This window comes from Homo sapiens, chromosome 12, assembly GCF_000001405.40.
Source record: "Homo sapiens chromosome 12, GRCh38.p14 Primary Assembly".
NCBI lineage: Eukaryota > Metazoa > Chordata > Mammalia > Primates > Hominidae > Homo > Homo sapiens.
The window spans coordinates 92,464,842-92,485,036 of NC_000012.12; the positions used below are offsets into that span (position 1 = coordinate 92,464,842).

The 20,195-nt window shown below is 38.9% G+C and overlaps 1 long non-coding RNA gene across 1 annotated transcript, besides 6 other annotated features; it reads left to right on the forward strand.

Moving 5' to 3' along the window:
• Window positions 1,472–1,766: a silencer, noted in NCBI's record as "tiled region #8533; K562 Repressive non-DNase unmatched - State 23:Low". NCBI's record gives its function as "represses a minimal TATA promoter and a strong SV40 promoter by Sharpr-MPRA in K562 cells {active_cell/tissue: K562}" and the evidence as "EXISTENCE:reporter gene assay evidence [ECO:0000049][PMID:27701403]".
• Window positions 1,472–1,986: a biological region, named in NCBI's record as "Sharpr-MPRA regulatory region 8533".
• Window positions 1,479–1,986: an enhancer, noted in NCBI's record as "OCT4-NANOG hESC enhancer chr12:92860096-92860603 (GRCh37/hg19 assembly coordinates)". NCBI's record gives its function as "activates a minimal SCP1, AML or CMV promoter by ChIP-STARR-seq in primed H9 embryonic stem cells {active_cell/tissue: H9 hESC(primed)}" and the evidence as "EXISTENCE:reporter gene assay evidence [ECO:0000049][PMID:30033119]".
• Window positions 1,743–1,892: an enhancer, noted in NCBI's record as "active region_6741". NCBI's record gives its function as "activates an Ori minimal core promoter by ATAC-STARR-seq in GM12878 lymphoblastoid cells {active_cell/tissue: GM12878}" and the evidence as "EXISTENCE:reporter gene assay evidence [ECO:0000049][PMID:35858748]".
• On the forward strand, window positions 1,838–19,106 carry LINC02397 (long intergenic non-protein coding RNA 2397). Its single transcript, NR_144532.1, has 2 exons — window positions 1,838–2,161; window positions 17,177–19,106. It is a non-coding gene; the product is annotated as a long intergenic non-protein coding RNA 2397 (long non-coding RNA).
• Window positions 2,093–2,182: an enhancer, noted in NCBI's record as "active region_6742". NCBI's record gives its function as "activates an Ori minimal core promoter by ATAC-STARR-seq in GM12878 lymphoblastoid cells {active_cell/tissue: GM12878}" and the evidence as "EXISTENCE:reporter gene assay evidence [ECO:0000049][PMID:35858748]".
• Window positions 2,963–3,022: an enhancer, noted in NCBI's record as "active region_6743". NCBI's record gives its function as "activates an Ori minimal core promoter by ATAC-STARR-seq in GM12878 lymphoblastoid cells {active_cell/tissue: GM12878}" and the evidence as "EXISTENCE:reporter gene assay evidence [ECO:0000049][PMID:35858748]".
• Window positions 19,107–20,195: the final 1,089 nt, after the last annotated feature.

Below are 20,195 nucleotides of genomic sequence, written 5' to 3' on the forward strand. Positions count from 1 at the left end.
AAATTCTGTCATTCTCCACTTTTTATTGTGTTAAAAAAATCAACTATAATATGAGTGAAAGTCAAGTTCTGCTGGTATGTATGAAATGAGAAGAGAGGTGCTGTAGGTTATTAATAACAGGGGATGTTTTGTACCTGTTCTGGAAGATGAATATGCATTTTTGTGTTGGAGCCAGTCCATAAGTCAAATTCCTTTAAAACAGGCAGAGGCCAGCCTTGTTCTGGCTGCAGCCTGCACGGCCAGAAAAACAGAGGAAGAAGCGCCTTCCACCAGCATGAAATGTTATCCACTTTGATATGTAAACATTCTTCCTTCACCTGAAGTTGATGTCAGGGTAACTAAAACACAAGAACTTGGTTGACTGAGCAGAAGCAATCTGTTGTATTCTTCTGTTTTTCAAAACCAGAGATAATCAAGGACTGTTATGTCAGATGCTAGCTGACCTAACTTTTGAGTGGAAAACGAACCAGGAATCTGAGATAACTGGATAGTCTCCGCATATTTTTAAAAAATCAGCATGTCTCTTGAAACTGCTCAGACTTAGCTGATTTTTGTAGTTGTTGTTGTTCTCTTTATAGTTTTTTTTCTTTTTTCTCTGTATTCCAGACTCCTGGCATTTAATCTATTGGGTGGGAATAAATGACGTAAATTGTACTCATATTTGCAAAAAGCCCAAAAAAGATGTTAAGGCTGTTAACAACAGACGTCTACGCTACAGTTGAAATGGGCTAGGTGAATTGAGACAGAATTCTATGAACATTTTATGAAGCTTTCCTTAAATTTCTAATTGAAAATTGCTACTGTTTGTGTTACTGTTGATTCATTTCATTTAAGTCTTGGTCTTGTAGATTCTATTGATACCCCATTCTTGGGGATGAAAAACAATGTTAAATGCGCACATTTGTTAGGAAAATGGGCTGGGTGGGAGACGGAAGGCTTTGGCCGCCATCCTAGGGCATTCCTGTGCATTGCGATGGTCAGCATTTCTGTATCTAAACATCGAAAAAGTACAATAAAAATACAGTATTATAATCTGGGACCACTATCATACACGCAGTCTTTCTTGACCAAAACATCCTTATGCCGTGCGTGGCTGTGCTGAGAAGGAGGAGCACTCGTCCTCTCCAAGCACATCCAATTTGCCTCAGTCCTCATGACTCCCGCCCTGTTACCAGAACTGAGCTCATTTGTTATTGAAGTTGCTTTTCTTATACCCAGCCCAGTTTTCCATTGATGCTTCCGCTTATTCTATGTAGGTATTTTCATTTATCACACAATATCCCTAGTCTAAGACTTCATTTGAGGAAAGAAAAAAAAAAAAACCTCTGCTGCTAAAAATAATTTGAAAACTCCTAGACAATAGGACCTTTCAAATCCCTTACAATTCTAACAACCAGTGAATTCATGCTTCACAGCCATTCAGATCTATACGTATGAAATACAAGACATATGTGTTCAACTTTCCTTCATCGCCTCCTTTAAACTTTCTTTTTTCTTTTTTGAGTCAGTCCCTGCAGGAACAGACCAAGTGAGCCCATTAAGAGAACAGTTCATTCCCACCTGCTACCTCGAGCCAGCCAACAATCTCAGCCTCACCACTCCATTCTTGATTATGTAGAACCATTCCAATCCTGAGTGACAGGATTTGCAAAGACAGCTGTTGGGCTCCACAAACATTTGGAGGAGGGGAAAATGTGAGGTTGGTTGCTACATTCTCCTACTTCTTTTTACTGAAAGGAACAGCTGCGATCTTCACATGTAAGATGAAGTAAACAAAAGCTGACAATGCCCAGCACCATTCAGCAGTAAGCATTCAAATGGATTTTTCCTCACCGCGTTTGCAGGCCCGGCACAGTCTCAGTTCCCCACAGCACAGAGAGGAAGCAAGGTCTTTGCATGCCCTGTTCACTTGGCCAAACATTGCCCTAGATGTGCAATTCAACCCATATAAAGCAAGCGTAATTCAAGAGCCCTGACTCTTTCACCATTTCATGATGGCTTATTACTCGCACACGGCATTGTCAGGTTCCAGCAACTCTGTGTGCAGCAGGCAGAAATGCAGTGTTTATCTCTGACAGGCAAACATTCTTAGGCTCATCGGCATGAGTATCCACGCTGAACTGGCTATCGGGGAAGTAGATCCCTGCATGGGAAAGTCAAGGTATGTTTAGAGGGACTCGATGATTCAACCCCATTGGCTGGTTCATTCCTTTTGTTTCCTCTGCCTTTTTATTTGCTTACACAGAAAACAGAGCATTCATTTATTTCTTTTCCCTCTCTCATCTCTATTAACCACTAGGGCCATCTGCCCATCTGAAACTGTCTTTGGCTGCATGGTTGTGAATCCAGGTGACAGTGAAAATGAAGAAGTGGTGATTGTCCCTGCATGTTTTCTCTGAAGGGTTAACTAAAAAAAAAAAAAAAAAAAGCCTTTGTGTCTGTTTCGAGTTCTCCAGTTGAAATACTGTACTCATTGAACTGCAAGAAATAAAACCTGCAAGTAGGCACTGTGCTAATGTAATAGAAATGTGTTAGACAGGGGCACTATTTCTTAAATATGCTTGAATTAAGCAAGTTCTTTTAAAAAGTGGGTGGGACTTTTGATGTTTTACATAGTTATATTTTCAATTTCTTGTGCTCAGTTTAAAACTCAAGATTCTTTGTTTCTGTGTGTGTCATTAGGGCAGGTGTTGGATGACAAGTAAATGCACTGAAAAATGAAAAAAAAAGATTTGTGCCCTAACCTCCATGAATTTGGTGACTTAATATATCCATACAGATCTGACTTTTAATCAAAGGTGCTCACAGGTGGGGTAAGGGATAAGGAGGAATTTGTCTACAGGATCCTTTTATCCTAAGTTGCCTTACAACATCCAATTGTGTTACCGTTTTTTTTTTTTTTTTTACAAACCCATTGCTAGGCTAAGAAGTATTGATTCCATCTAGTTAAACATGTCGAGTGAGAGGAAGTGATCAATGGATTACTTCTTCAAAACATTTATCCCCCCTAGTGGAATCCTCTGATTTTTATAACATTAAAGAGCCAGGTATAGGAGTTGGGAGAAGAATTTAAAATTTGAAATGTCTTCTTTTTTCAACTCTGTTCATGAAAACTCTAGTTAATGCATGTGATTTCCTGGGTCTCCCTCTCTACTTCCCTCCATTATCACCACCTTTTGTTGCTGCTGGGGCTGTGGGTGCCCTGAAGGAGCATGAGATGGCCTTCCTCAGATATCTGGGTTTTAAATTCAGTTCGTATCTCTTAAGTGAAGTGGGTAGGGCCAAAAATGACTCACTGCCCAGTGGTGCCTGGAAACATTATCAGCAAAGACATTCACCTAGGGAGAAAATAAACACAGAATTCTCATATGGGCCCATCTTTCCAACCATCTCCTGGACTTTGGTAGTCTTTTCTGAGCCAGATATCTCTCTAAAGTCACTTGCTGTCAGACCTTTTTGTCTCATATTTAGGAATGGCTGAAGTTCTTTATAAATCCCAGATGAAACAGGAGGAAAACTACTTTGAAATGATCATTTCCATGATCTCTAAAATGCAACAAACCGTATTTCTTAAGATTAACGGATGCGAGCCTATGACAGGTTCAATGTGGGACCAACTCAAGGGAAATTGATGACCGAATTATTAAAAGGCATTCATTACATCGCAGTTTCACCTGAAGAGGGGGTGTCCCCCAGTAGTGCTTCTGCAGCAGAATTGCTTAGAAACTGCAGAACATCCACAAGGCAAGCACCCCAGGCCATTGTGTCTGACTGTCTTTCAAATAGAGGAATGGCTAGTTGCCATTTGCTGAGGGCATCTCCTGCACTGAGAACTGTGTGCATATATGGATGATATCGCCGAGACTCACAAGTATGCAAGATAGAAACTAGGTGCATTTTTTTCAGATTAGGAACTTGAGAATGGAAGATAAACTGAGAAGGGGAGCAGGGGAGGATAGGGAGAGATTGGGCAACGGTTAAGAAGTTACAGTTAAATAGGAATAAATCCTGGTGCTCTATTGCACAGCAGGGTGCCTGTGGTTGACAACATTGCATTGTCTATTTCAAAGTAGATAGAAGAGAGGCTTTTGAATGTTCTCACCACAAGGATATGATAAATGTTTGAGGTAATGGATATGCTAAATACTCTGGTTTGATTATTACATAGGGTATGCCAGTTTCAAAGCATCACATTTTACCCCATAAATATGTACAACTATCATGTGTCAATTAAAAATAAAATTAAAAAAAATTTATTGATAAAAGAATAAAAAATAGCATGCTTTTGGCCACTCTATTTGATAGGCATCATTTAAAAAACATAAGACTATAAGGCTGGGCATGGTGGCACATGCACCTGTACTCCCAGCTATTTAGGAGGCCGAGACAAGAGGGCTGCTTGAGCCCAGGAGTTCGAGATCAGCCTGAGCAACACAGTGAGACCCTCATCTTTAAAAAATATACGTAGTATAGATGATGTAAAAGGACCACCTTTCCAAATGAGTCAATTTCTTCCTTAATTTAATACATTCCTAGGTAGTAAGTTTTTAGAGAGCTAAACTAATTCCTTGCTATGTCTTAGGTTACCATTTATAAGTGTTCTTATGGGGGTTAGCTTCATTTTATGTACTAAACACTTATTTGAAAGGATCGTTGCCTTTTTCCATGTGCTAATTTGTATAGAGAGTTTACGTATTGTGGGAATTTAATTTATTCCTGCATTTTATCCAGGAAAATAGAGCCAGATGCTTTTGGACACTTGTTATTTGCTTTAAATAAGATATCAGGTTAAGATAAGAAAAATATATTGATTGGATATTGCGTCTTCCTCTGGAGAACGTAAAACCTTTCACGTCCTACATCTCATCATACCTTACAACTTTAGAACAGACTCTAATAAAAGGAAAATGTTTTAACTGTCCCTTTACTTATAGAGGGCAGGGATGGGAAAGTGCACTCAATTATACTAACAGAGCTCTCAATTAATCTAAATTCAAAGCGAAGGCTCCTGTTGTGGATCAGGGACCCTGAATAAACATGCTTTCTAGGAGACTTCACCGCCAGGTTCCAAGAGAGGTCACAGTACTCCTGCACTCCTGATGGCAGACCCTTGGATTCCATTGCAGGCAGTGACACACCAAGAGTAAGAGGAGCTGGCTTCAGCCCTGTCCACGTGTGTCTGCTGGCTCGCCCTTCTGTCTGGCATCTCCACGCCCCTCCTCTTCCGGACTCCCTTGCATGACCTTCCAAACAGAATGAGCTGTTCTTCCAAATATGACCCTAACTCATTCAACAGCTGGAGGCAAGAGCAAACTAGAGCTCATGCAAAGGGTATTAGCATTGAGTCTTTTTTTTCCCCCTCTTTCTCTCAGACTAATAGATATTTGGAAAATTCATCTAAAAACCTTTTTTAAAAAAATTTCATTCATAAAAATAGCCAAGGGGTTTCTCAGAGAGTTTCCTTTTAGCAAGTCTTTTGGAAGGAATAAATGTCTACTTTATTATTTTTCCTTCCTGTGCCTGACCTCGGAGAGGATTAGAGGGTCTGGGCAAGGAGAGGAGCCTCACACCCAGCCACCCACACTTTTCCTTCTGACGAGACCCACCGCCATGCCATGCTCTGTACAAGTTCTCTGGAGGAACATAAGAGCCACCTTATGTGTGAGGGAATAAGACCATGCTTTGAAGAGCCAGACTTTCTCCTTTTACTTGCTCTTGAAATTGTTTTCACTCTGATCTGCAAGTCAAAGAAATGATCTATTATACATGTAGGGACCTCAAAATCTGTTTGACTCTGTGCAAATAAGGTACAGTCCCTGCCTTCTTCCTATAGTTTTCTTATCACTAGGGGACTTGAAAAGGATTTAGTTCAACAACTGAGTCAGCATGAGCTCACACAAAACAAATCGTTTCACACCAATGTCAATTTCTTTCTTTCTTCCCCCCCGCCCCCACTTTTTTATTTAAATAATTCGGTCAGGGAAATCCCACATGCTTAGTATCATTTTGTCAGCAAGGTACATGACAACTCTGGTCACAATAGAAAGTCGTTTAGTGAATTAATGTCAACTCTGGAAAAAGTGGCTAATGTGTCTTGGGGAGTTTGGTCCTTGCCTGTACACCTGCCTGAAGATCACAAGAGTAAGAAGGACAGGTAACACACACTGAATGACAGGATCAGAGGTTAGCAATATCTCAGAAGCCTGCCATATGAGCCAAACCCAATACAAAACAATTTAGCAATATTAAGTAATTATCACATTTTGTACTTCAATAAAAAATTTAATATCATGACTTTGCGGTAGGAAAGGCCAAGTTTAATGTTGGTTAAAAATAGTTTGGAGATTATATTTGTCTGTCTTCAATATGATGTTTCTTTCAAAATATCCCAAATAATCTGAATTAAGAGTAGAAATAATATCTACCATTTATTGAGTACCTACTATCTGCTAAAATAACAAATTTATAATGAAGGTGTAACTATTCCCATTTTACAGATGAAAAAAATGGAGGAGGTTAAGTAACCAGCACTAAGTCAAAATGGCTAGCAAAGATCAAAACCAACATGTTAGCCAATGTTAGGCAGTTCAAGTCCTTTCCTCTGTGCCTGAAATGAAAGAAATTTTCCAGGAATTTTGCATTGGTTATTCATATCAAGTATAAAAAATGTTATTCATTTCAATGAACCAAAATTAAGTCAAGACACTTAAGGACTGTCTAGAGGAAAATGACCAGGATAGGAAAGAGTCTGGAAGCCATGCAAGAAAAGACACAGATGGTAAATATTTAACATGAAAAATAGAAGATTTGTGTGGGATATAGGAGATACCTTCAAATAATGAAGACCTGTGGTCAACTGGGGCAAATATTTTAACCCCAAATAAGTTCTTCAACAATAACAGTTTCATTACAAATAAGGGAAGAGAAAGTGCCCAAAATGAGCATTCTCAGTCACTAGATGCAGAATCAGAAAGCCACCTGCCAGGGCTGTTATTGAGTGAAATTCTGACTTTGAAAACATTTGGCCTATACGAGGGATTCTTAATCTGATATCCATGGAAGAACTTTAGGTAAAGTCTTTGAATCCCTGGAAATTATATGAAAAATTGTATATGTGTTTTTTTTTCTTGGGAAATGGTGGATATATTTCTTCAAATCCTCAAAGCAATTCTACAATATTGGTGGGGCAGTGAAAGGAAATCACTTCCAATTCTACAATTCTGTTTTGTAAAAGTAGTCTTACCCTTCACAGAGGTGCACCCAAGAGAACTGTGTGATTGATTTAATATTAGGGGTGAATGAACATAAACAATTGAAGAAAACTTCAAGGTTTTTAGCCTTGTAACTAAGATGTTCATACAATTTTTAAAAATCTTTAATAAAAGAGAAGCAAATTTAGTGGAAGATAATTAAGTAGAAATAAATAGGCAAACTGAAGCCTGTCTAAGATTCCAGTACTGAGAGTACTGAGTACGTAATTCAAATATTCTTTTACATCATGGCAGAAAAATGCTGAAATCTAGGGATATATGCTGACTAGTAACTGAGTCTTATATAAATAATTTTTTTAAAGCCACTTGAACTTTAGAACCATAAAATGTTATAACACTAACTGTTCTAGAGACTACTTACTTCAGTCTCCTAATGTTACAACTGAAGAAATCATGTCTCAGAAAAACTAAGAGACATATTCTGGATTCTGGGGCCTGGTTCCTGATTCACGTCTCTGTCTGCAAATTTAAGGAAAAAAAATTCTAAAACATTCAAATCTGGAATAAACCTATGCATTTTTCAAGAAGAAAATATATATATAAAAACTAGTCTTAACTACATATAATACACAAAGGTCCACTTTGTTATGGTATAAGGCAAGACCGTAAGGAGGTCTTATGCCTCCTTATGAGGCATAAGATTGCCCCTTACGAGTTTTAAAGTATGAATTCCACACGTCAGCATGCTCTGGGATGTTTTCACAGTATTTTTAACATTGGTCCTCATAGTCTTAATTTACCTCTGGAAATTTCCATGGATGATTAAACTATGAAGAACAAAGAAGCACATGGCTGTGTTATTTAGAGTTTAGTGAATTAGGTCTGCAAGTCTGTTGGTTTCCTTTTAGATGTTGTCTTGTCCGTTTCTAAGATCAGAGGGAGACCAGCTCCAGGAGTGCTCATGAATGCATCAGTGGTCTTCCATACCATCTGATGAAAAGATTCATTCTGTGTCTCAAAAGGATATTCCAGATCCAGTTCTGAGTCAGCAGGTCTTTGGTGTATATATATATATATATATATATATATAAATTTTTCCACTGCTTTATTTTTTTAAATTCATCTGACAAGGTCAAGGTGGGATTGAGACAAGAAAAATTTGGAACTAGTCCCATTTGAGACTTATTTCCTTAAAAAAGGAACTGTTTTTTAATAATCTGAAAGTTTACATAATTTTGACATGCAAGTTATATACGTGTGTGTGTACGTTTGCATGCTTGTGTGTATGTTCATTTTTTTTAAAGAGACTCAAACTAAATAAAATTTTGATTGGGGGTGTTGCTGAAAGGACTATAGTGTCAGCTGTTATAACTTCAGCTTTAAACACTAAACCAAAACATGGGCTACATGTTCCAATTCATACTGAAGCTTTATAATATATGGCCTTAGAGTAGAAGTATAATGATCTCTTGGGAGAGGCAAGATCCAATTAAAATTCAGTTTGCTGTCTTTTGGAAAGACATAAGCAGTTATATATCCTTTGAGACGGTCTTAAGAAATACACACCTGAGCTTTAAATGGCCACTCATTTGACTGTGAAGTTGAATTTCAATTCATCTGGGAGTCAGAGCACAAGAAAGAATTCAAATAACAACACTCTGATATTTCCTGGTGTGTTACCAGGGAGAAAAGAGCTCCTGGAAAATGAACGCCTTACACATTTGCAGATATTACCAACCACTTATAAAAACAAGGCTATTGTTATGCATAAAAGTCATTCCTTTTAGGGGAAGCCTAAGAGTGAATTGAAATGTGGCTGACATTTCTACCACAAGATAAAATGTTTTTTTAATATCATGTTTAAGTTCTCTTAGTTAAAAAAGAGAAAAGGGAAAAAAAGAAGAAGAAAGAAAAATATCTATAATCCAGTATTCAGAAGCAATTCCAGACACTTCACCCATGAAATAACTCACTGGAAGACATTACATTTCTAAACACAAAAGCTATTAGCAGCCTTTTCTAATTCTCTTTTAGTTCAATAAGGGAATTATTGACCGTATTTTGCAATCCCACATGTTTTTAAAAGACAAAAAACATAGTACATTGAACAGAAAACATACGAATGCTTTCTATTTAATTTATTAGTTCATGACTAAGATGAAACACTCCAACATATACAATAACCTCCCCACCCCCACTTCACTCTGAGGTTCTTTTGGTTACTTCTTTTTTACAACAAAGGTTTGATGTATTCTTTAAAATATAAAAAGAAAAAGCCACTATATTGCCTCAGAACTACTCCATCTCACTGCCTCACTTTAAATTCTGATTGACTGTAATGAGACCACAGACAGATTGATGAAATAAATTTAGATACTAAATAGCATTGTACTTGGGGTGATTTAGTTATATAGCTCATTTATTTCTTCAACAAATTTGTTGAACAGCAGTATTAGTTAAGGCAATGCAAGCTGATGTCATAAATAAACCCCCAAATCACAATGGCCTAAAACCTTAAAGGTGCAATTTTTATTCATGGAAGCAGGGCAATGTAAGTAACTACAGGATTCAGGCAGCCAGAATTCTTTCATCCTGTGTTTCCATCATCTTCTAGAGCTTCAAAGTCTTCTGCATTTATCCAAGATAAGAGAAAAGAAATTTGAGAAGGTGTACCTGTTTTTAGCCATCTTCTGCTCACTTGCTCTTGGAATTAACAAATCACACAACCATACCTAAGTGCAAAGTGGTTGAGAAATGTATTTCCTGATGGGACAACCACCTTCCAGTGATAACTTCACACTCTGAAAGGGCTCAGCTGCAACACCTGTAATAATACTGTGCTGGACATTGTGGAATTTTCTAAAAGAAACAAAACTGGGACCTTGTCTTCCACGAGCATGCACGTTAGCAATTTTTTGCAAGGAATTTATTCCCTTACCAATAATAATAGTTAATATATATATAAAGTTTGTTATGTATCAGGCTCATTATTGGACCAGAGGCTGTGTGGGTGGTATTTCAGGACTCAAACCCTGGTATCTGCGCTGTCCAAATTCATGCTCTTGCCTCCTGCCCTCCGTAGACTTCTAATCACTTAAGGCAAGAGACTCAAGTCTAGTTCTCTTAGAAGTTCCTACCACAGGGCAGAGCCCACACCAGACAGTGAAGGAATGTGGATTATACTAAACAAAACCCTAGGATCGATTGTATAGGTAACTGTTGGCAATAAATTAGAGCTCAATTCCAACTCATAAAAAGCTGTACTCCAAAATACAATTCACCATAAATGAAAGCTTTTTAAAGATATGAGTTGCCTATACTATAAATATTGATTTTTTTTCATCTGAGTCAATTGAGATGCAAATGCTAATTTGAGTAGATGAGCATATGAGCATTAGTGGAAAAACTCACCTAAAAAGGTACAAGAGAGAGCAAGATGCCCAAGATAGATTAACACAACACTTTAACCAGAATGTTCTATCATTTTCTTTCTGCACATACACCTTCTAACTTGCAAATCTGTCTTGCTTCACATGATCTCTTCCCATCTAATTTGATGGGTTTTTCTCTGAAAGAAATGAAGGGAGGATTCCTCCAGTTCTTGTTTTCTATGGTAATTATCCTAAGTTTTAGGGGAAGAATTTTAAAAGAGGAATTCTAGGCACTTCTCAACTTGGAGCAGAATAGAGATGTATTCCAGTAAGGAATATAGTTCATGGGCATAAGTGACTTGAATATGAGGTAGAATTGGGGGTAAATAACCTATGAAATGTATAGATGATATTCTATCAGACAAGAGATATTACCTATAGTTTTACAAAAGAAATAAACTTTTAGCTAGGCCTTTTAGAAACATGTAAAATTAACTGAGTTTACCAAGTATAGAAAAAATAGGAAATTGTCATTTAGAAGGGCATGATCTATTCAGCTAGCCAACCAAGAAATATGTCGAGTGCTCCGATGCAAGGTAGGGTATGAAGAGCAGTGGGGAGAAGGGGGCAGTGAAAAGTGCAAGACAACACCTATTCCCATATAGGTCAGCAGCTAAGAGCAACAACAAAAGAGAACAATGGGCATGTACAGTGCATCCACCTGTACCAGGTAACATGCCAGGTGAATTATTCAAATTATCTCATTTGGCACTAATGCATGTAAAGTACATAGCAAGGTGCCTGTCACAGAAAGAATGTACAATAAGTGATAGCTGTGATTTAAATGCCAGTTTTATGTGGAGGTTATTATCTGTTTTCAAATTAAAGAAAGTGAGGCATGGTGAGGCTATGTGATGCTATAAACTGAATGTTTTTATCCCCACAAAATTTATATGTTGGAACCTAATCACGAAAGTAATCGTGAGGCCCCGTAAAGGTAGGGTCTTTGGGGGTTGATTAGGTCATGAAAACTCCACCTTCATGAATGCTGTTATAATAATAATAATTAGTACTCTTATAAGAGAGGACTGGGGGAGCTCATTTGTCCCTTCTACTATGTGAGGATGTAGCAACAAAGTACCATCTTTGAAGCAGAGAGTGAGCTCTCATCAGACATTGAATCTGTCAGTACATTGATCTTGGACTTCCCAGCCTCCAGGACCGTAAGCAATAAATTTCTGTTGTTTATAAATTATCCCATCTGAGGTATTTTCTTACAGTAGGCTAAGATAGATGATATATCCAAAGCCCCTTAGCTGGAGAAACCAGACATACACGCATGGAAAGTTCAATAACAATGAGATTCTTTGTGAAAGTTGCTCTCCTGGCAGTTCTATTTTACTAGTAGAATATTCATCTTAGTTCATGGGTTGTTATTCCTCAATCTGGCTGCTGAGTGCCCTTTGGGTGTTTATGATTTTAACTGCCTGCCCCTGGTTCTAGTTGCCTGGGTTAGGCAATGAGGGTATTTTGTGCAAATTGTGTCCTGAGTGCCTATGCTGCAGCTCCCCATGAGTCTTCCATTCTAATTCTAATCAACTTCCAGCTATCTATCTTAAGCAGAGTACCTTTTAGGACAGGGTGATAGGGGGAGCCTAGAGGTCACATGCGAGGCCTCCCATCTGTGGAGGTTTAGTTGGAGAGAGCTGACAATGAGATGATTCCTGTGCAGCAGTAGTCATGAACCTGGGGCAGGAATGAGAGCACCATGCTATCTCCCAGGGCCCAGAGAGTGTGGCCCTGAGAGACAGATCAGTGAAATCTCTAAAGAGCAATGCGCCAGATTGATGAGATTATCTTGGGGGTACTTGCTAGTCTCTTTGGCTTCGGAGGGGCGTGGAGGGAGGGGAACAGATAGGCTCAGATCCTCTCTGCCCTTGAGGCTGGTCAAACATATTGCAGGTTTGTAGAGAAGTGTCTTCTCCTTGTACTTGTACAGATGATTTGCTAACCGGACCTGAAACTGTCCTATCTCCCTCCATTCCAGTGACTCAAGTGTCCTCAGAGCTAATCCAGGTAACTAGAGCCAGGGGCAGGCAGTTAAAATCATAAACACCCAAAGGGAACCCAGCAGCCAGATTGAGGAATAACAACAACCCATGCCCCAAGATGAACATTCTACTAGTAAAATAGAACTTCCAGAAGAAACAGATGACAACTTTAACAAAGAATCAAAAGTATACTTACAAAAATTGAAAAATAGCATTAAAATAACTTTCCAGCATTCAAAAACATGGCTTTTCAATTAAAAACATCAATTCAGTTAAGGAAAGGATGGCCTAGGATGAGACAGACTCACTTGCAATATAAGACATTATAGGGTAAATACCAAATGAGTCGTTTTGATTCTCAGGTGGAATTGACCATTAGACTCACCTGTTAAAAACACAGACTTCAACTTACCCAGCCCTAATAAATCAGGAACTCTGGAAGCCGAGCCAATGAAAGTGCATTTTGGTTGGAAGTGGCCACTGGTTTTGGGCACTGGTTATGGGGGCTGTGGAAACTGGCAGTACATGTTGAATGAGTTATCAGGGTGAGAGATCACTGGGTCTGCAGGGATGGTGGTAAGGACCGCGGGAGAGAGATGAGAACTGAAATGAGCATGAGAGGTGGGTAGAGTTTATTGATAGTGACCTAAAAATATGAAACAAGGATTGATGAATGTTTTGTCTGCATGATCCCAAGTTTTCACCAGATTTAGACACAAATACTTGTCACACCCGTAGATCAAATAGCAAGTCTAAAATTTTTTAAAGTTTAGCTTTAAATAATATAATACACATCAGATAAATAAGAAGTTGAAGTATCGCGATTTTGCAAATGTTTAGGAAGCTTGTGTTCATCCGGTTCACATTTCCTTCACTCTATGTGTGCATGTTTGAAACTGAAATATACAAGTTAAATCTTTAGTCTTACTTTTTTAACCACTGACAATGATGATGGTCCATTTATCTCCCAATGTTCCATTTCAAGACAGATGGATCAGTTTGTCAAGGTCTGAGTAGGAATAAATGGAGTGCTCCAAAGGCAAATCTGTAGTGGTGTGTTCAATTTGATAAAATCACGCTTGCATATTTTTTTCCTAAATTTCCTGAACCACTCCACTAAGGGAGACAACCTAGTACTTCTTGGTTTTTTTCTCTTCAAATGGCTGCTTCTGAGTCACAGATGTGAAATAACAGGAATCAAAGGATTCATGGATCAAGAAAAATGACTCCTGATCATTTCCAGTAGGTTATTTCCTTGGAGCTGTTCTGCTCTGCCCCCAGGAGGTGTAATGGATTTGAACTAAATGTAATCAAAAATTTTCACCTGCATCCTTATTTCCTGAAAGTAGCTCAGTCCCATGAAGCTGAACTTTCTGCAGCTGTGAGACCCACGGCATGGCTGCTTCCTTAGGGGAAATAAACTCGATGTTTCTCTGAGTCAGAACCACAGAACAACAGTCTCATGAAATGCTCTATGCCAAACAAAAAGCACTCTGCACTCAGATTTGGGATGAGATTCACATGCCATCAGCTCTCAGAGGGTGATAGAGCACATCCAAGCTTCTGGAGCCCCTGCAGCAGAGAAATCATTTTATTCATAACTCTCTGTAACTTAGTCACTTGTATTCATTTTTGAGTGCTGCCTTAACAAAGTAACAACTGGGTAGTTTAGACAACAGAAATGTATTGTCTCACAGTTCCAGAGGCTAGAAGTTCAAAGTCAAAGTGTTGGCAGCTCTGTCCCAAGCTTCCCTCCTTGGCTTGTAGATGGCTGATTTCATGTTCACAGGGCATTCTCCCCATATAGGTGTCTATCTCCAAATTCCATCTGTTTGCAAAGACACCAGTCATAGTGGATTAGAGTCCATCTAACGACTTCATTTTAACTTGATTACCTCTGTAAAGACCCTATCTCCACATAAGGTCACATTCTGAGGTACTGAGGTTTAGAACTTACATCTGAATTTGAGGAGGGAGATGTAATTCAACTGATTATACCACTGAATCCTTTTTTTCCCATGTCATCTATTAACAGCCTGAAGAACACGTTTAGAGGGATGTTACTGTGGCTTCACAGATACCATGCTCTTCCTCAATGGTTCCCAAATGCCATTTGCAGAATATATGCAGAATCACTGGGAGTGCTTTTTAGAATTCTAAATCTGCCAGGCATGGTGGCTAACACCTGTAATCCCAGTACTTTGGGAGACCAAGGCAGGCAGATCGCTTGAGCCCAGGAGTTCGAGACCAGCCTGGGCAACATGGTGAAACCCCATCCCTACTAAAAATACAAAAAATTAGCTGGGTGTTGTGGCATGCACCTGTAGTCCCAGCTACTTGAGAAGGTTAGGCTGCAATGAGCCATGAGCCCATGATCCTCCACTGCACTCCAGCCTGGGCAAGAAGAGTGAAACCTGTCAAAAAAAAAAAAGAAGAATTATAGATTCTTGGGTCTCACCTCCACAAATTAAAATCCACTGGATCTAAGGAGGAACTCAGGAATTTGCAATTTACAAAGTTGCCCAGAACATTCTGATGCATCACCAGGTTGGAGTTCCACAGCCAGTTAGTGCTCCCTTATTATTTTTTAGACTTGATTTGGGCCATAAATCTTATAATAGCTACCTAAGAAGTACACTTCTTCTTTAAACAATATGAACATAGAATTGTTTTCTCATCTCTGTTTTTATTACATCTTCTATCTTCCTCCACTGCAGTACAAACCACTTGATGTGCATAGATTCTGCCTTACTCATCTTTTTATTCTCAGTGTGTACCAGAGAATCCACACATAAATAACATTCAATAAGCGTTTATTGAAGAAATAAATACCTCCAGCAACACAGGCAAACTGTACAATTGTTTCATCATTTAAAGAAGTTCCTGGCCGGGCGCAGTGGCTCATGCCTGTATCCCAGCACTTTAGGAGGCCAAGACAGGTGGATCTCTTAAGCTCAGGAGTTCGAGACCAGCCTGGCCAACATGGTGAAACCTCATCTCTATTAAAAATACAAAAAAAAAGGTAGCTGGGCATGGTGGTGTGCACCTGTGGTCCCAGCTACTCAGGTGATTGAGGCAGGAGAATTACTTGAACCTGGGAGGCAGAGGTTGCAGTGAGCTGAGATCACGTCACTGCACTCCAGCCTGGGCAACAGAGTGAGACTCCATCTAAAAAAAAAAAAAAGAAAAAGAAAAAAAGAAAAAGAAAAAAGAAGAAAAATGTTATTGACATTGACATATCTTTATACTTGAGAGAATTCAGCTACTCTTAAGAGTTTAACCCGTGCAGCCATGCCCGCTGTCCTGACTCATTTTTACTCCTGCCATGATAGCTTACCTGTGGTTTCAGGACACATCTTTCTTTTTCCAGCCTCAAGGATCTTTTGCACATGCTATTTTGGAACTCTTCTGCCTACCCTCTTTCTCCACCCCATCCCCAGTTGCCACGACTATTTCCAAATGAATATTTGTTCTGCCCTTCAAATTAGAAGTGGTGCCCCTGTTAAACGTTTTCATAATGCTTCATTTTTTTTCCCATGGAGACACTGATCATGCTTGTAATGAATAGTTCAATGGTTGCTCTCTCTGACAAACTCTAATCTACATGTAGGCAGGCTTCATGTCTGTTGTGTTCATTTTTGAAGCCACAGAAACTTGAACAGAGTAGGAACTCAAATATTAATTGAGTCGTTATGCGCTTTACCATGATTATGTGTTTTTTCCCACCATTAAACTGGGAGCTTCTCTACAGCAGGGACTAGATTTAATTTATTTTTCTATTTTTGGCACCTGGCACAGTGCCTGGAAGGCAGAACAAGCACAATAAATTTTCTTAAAATTTGTAAGGTTTTTGTTTATTTGAATGGTTGTTTAGTTTTTGCCTTGATGAAAGCCTGGGATAGAAATTTAGAACAAGGTTGGATGTTGGTGATCATATAAAAATAGATTTGTTCTTTTTTGTCATTAGAGCCCAAACTTAAAAAATATGTCAAATAAAAAAATAAACTAGAATAACAGGGAACATTTAATGGAACCAAGGCACCTCAAACAGCTGACATACTTCTAAAAAGCAGAAAGTAATAGTAAGGGAGATAATAGCATACGAGTTAGTTTTCCAATTGCCAAAAGATCACTTCAAATACAGCTCTTGGCAGTCATCTTCTTATGGAGAAACTGCAACACTTATGGAATGGCAATTCCACCAATCCCCTTTTTCTAACAGCAGAAAAACCTGAAGGAGACAAGCCCAGCTATAGTCCAGCTGGGACCTGTGGCAATAACCTGACCTAAAGTTACATAAGTGATCAGGACCGTATGTGGTCCGTACCCCTCTGCCTGAGGATGCTACGCAGCTGTTTAACTCTCTCAAACATTTTGTTCTTTTACTGACAACCCACTGCAGTCAAGTTGTCTATTCCCATAATATGGAATATTGGGTCTATAGTAATTTCCTATTCCTATTTCTAGGCAATCATGTAAGATAAGGGGAATGGGCACCTATTTCTCTGGGGAAGGTATAAATGTGTCTTTTATCTCTTTCCAGTATCCCCACTGTGTAGAGCTGGTCCACAATGGAGAGGAGGAAAAGTTTTGCATTGGACCAAATCACTGCCTTAGAAGGAAAGAGATTGCAATCCCATTCATTTTTAAGATCTGCAATGGGTTGGGATGATACCCATTTAAAAAAGAAAAAAAAAGAGGTTACCTCTTTGGCCTCTTTGGCAAAGGATATGAACTAGTAATAAAGCCTCAGCATCAAGGCTTGGGAGTCTGGCTCAAAGTGGCTAAGACTAGAAGCATCTTCTAACATAAATATGGCAGCATTAGGAAAATAGCTTGGCCTTTAGAGAGACCCAGATTATCTTCACCTTAAAAACTACCAAGACCCTGGTCCAGCAAGACCACCATCACAGCAGTAAATACATAGCCACCAACTTCACAGAAGGTTTTCCACTGAGACATTGTGAAAACCACAATCCATTACCGGTGGATGAGTCCCAGCTCTCTTACTACCTGGAGCTTCCAAGCAAGACTTACCTGTCCTTTGTTCCAGATTGGTTCCTGGGATCCTGGACCAACACAAAGAGAAGAGGAAAGCCTCAAGGGAAATAAAAGTGAAGGTTTCAGTGATAGTTTAAATATATATTTTTAAATGTTAGCTTTTTTTTAAATACTTCACAGTGATGGATGGAGTATTTCAACCACAATGGCAAAGAATGAATTACCGGCAGTGTCAGAGTTTCTTGTTGCTGTGGGAAGACAGCTGCCATGTTGAGAGGTGCCTTGTGGAGAGGCTCATGTGGCGAGGAACTGAGACTGGCTTCTATCCAACAACCAGTGAGGAACTAAGGCCCTAAAGTCCTATAGTCCACAAGGAACTAAATCCTACCAACAACTACATGAGTGAGCCTGGAATCTGATTTTCCCCAGTGGGGACTTAAGGTACCTACAACCTGGCTGTTATGGGCTAAACTGCATCCTGCCCAAATTTATATGTTTGAGTCTTAACTCCCAGCACTTCAGAACATGGTTTTGTTTGGAGACATAGTCATTAAAGAGGTAATGAAGTTAAAATGAGGTCATTAGGATGAGTCCTAATCCAATAGGACTGGTGTTCTTATATGAAGAGGAAATTTGAACACAGACACATATACAGGAAAGACCATGCGAAGAAGACACAGAGAGGAAACGGCCATCTACAATCCAAGGAGAGAGGCCTCAGAACAAGCCAACCCTGCAGATACCTTGATCTAGGCATCCAGAATTGTATGAAAATACATTTTTGTTATTTAAGCTACCCAGTCTGTGGTGCTTTGTTATGGCAATCCCAGAAAACTAATTAACTAATTGACTGCAGCCTTGCAAGGGACCCTGAACCAGAGGACCCAGTTAAGCCATGTGCAGATTCCTGACTCACAGAACTAGGAGATAACAAATGTTTGTTGTTCTAAGGTGCTAAATGTTGGGAAAATATGTTATGTGGCTATGTTGTTTTGCACATGTGCCACATAATGATGTTTTGGTCAACAACAGACCACACATATGATGGTGGGCCCATAAGATTGTAATACTGTGTTTCTATTATGCATTCTCTATTTATAGATACACAAATACTTGCCACTGTGTTACAATTGCCTACTGTCTTCAGTACTGTAACATGCTGTACAGGTTTGTAGCCCAGAAGCAATAGACTATACCATACAGTCTGGGTGTGTAGTAGGCTATACCATCTATGTTTGTGAAGTACACTCTATGATGTTCACATAATTATGAAGTTGCCTAGTGATGCATTTCTCAGAATGCATGCCCGACATTAAGTGACACTTGGCTTTATGTCTATCATGCATTTAAGATATTGCAATATAGTTAACTTATGTTTTAATACACCTCTTAATTCTGTTTTGATCCCACACCAACCAAGATGCAAAACTAATTTTTTCGCCCATTTCCATAAAAAACACAATTACAATGGGCCTAATGTGGTTTATGTCATTTTCCCTGAAGATTTGTGGTGGTATAGGAAGCAGTCACAGCACCCTGTATAAAGCTCTTCCATGGCCTGCCCCCTTTTCGCAGTCACCTCTATTATTTGAAGGAATGGTCCAACCAACCTCAAAGCTCTGGAAATTTGCCCCAAAATAATTTTACCCTGAAGCCATTGAAGCTTAAGTTTCAGACCCCAGTTTCACATTCCTGTGAGTTCTGCAAGTCACTGGGAGCTATAGAGTCTTCTACGTAGATTTGGGAAACAAGGTGAAAATACCTCAAGAAATCTCAGAAGCCAGGGGCCTGCATCTCCAAGCCTCTGGCAATTTTCTTGTGGTTTCTATCCTCACTCTAGATATTTGCTTTTGAGACTGATTTTGAATTCAGAATTTTATATTCTCTCAAAAAGAGAATTCTCCAAATTCTATAAGCTTCAGGCTCTACAAAACTTGTCTATTCTGCCTAACTAGATTTATCATAGCACGTACCAAAGATGGCCCTGCCTCATGAGGACTTTTCATATCAGACCCTTAGATAATAATATTCCCTCATGTAAGTAATAATATTTCCGCATGTAGTTATGTATGAATAATTTTCATTCATCTATATCATGTTGGCCATAGTCAGTGTCCATGTCCAATTTATTTTTTGTGTCCTTGGTGCTCAGAAAGTTACCAGATGTTCAGTCAGAATTTTATTTAAAATATTTTGATGAACTAGATTTAAAGATAGATTAAATTAATTCCTACACATGATTTAATTTAATGGATAAAATAAGGGACTGAGCATTAGCCTGAACTGTGTACTTGCATTAGCCCTGATGTTCCCCAGAGGGAATAATATGTGAAGAATACTGCATAGGCTGAAAAACAAGAGTTCCCAGCAGACCAATATTCTTTCTTTCTGCAAGCTGTGAGACACCTGGGGAAAGTTCTCCACATTTGGTTTTTCAGCTACTCCACCCATGACTAGAAGGAAGATTTTATTTTATTATTTTATTTTATTGTATTTTTTAACAGTAAAAGAAAAATTATTGTTATTTTAATGAAAAAGAACCACCTGGAAAGTCTAGTGAC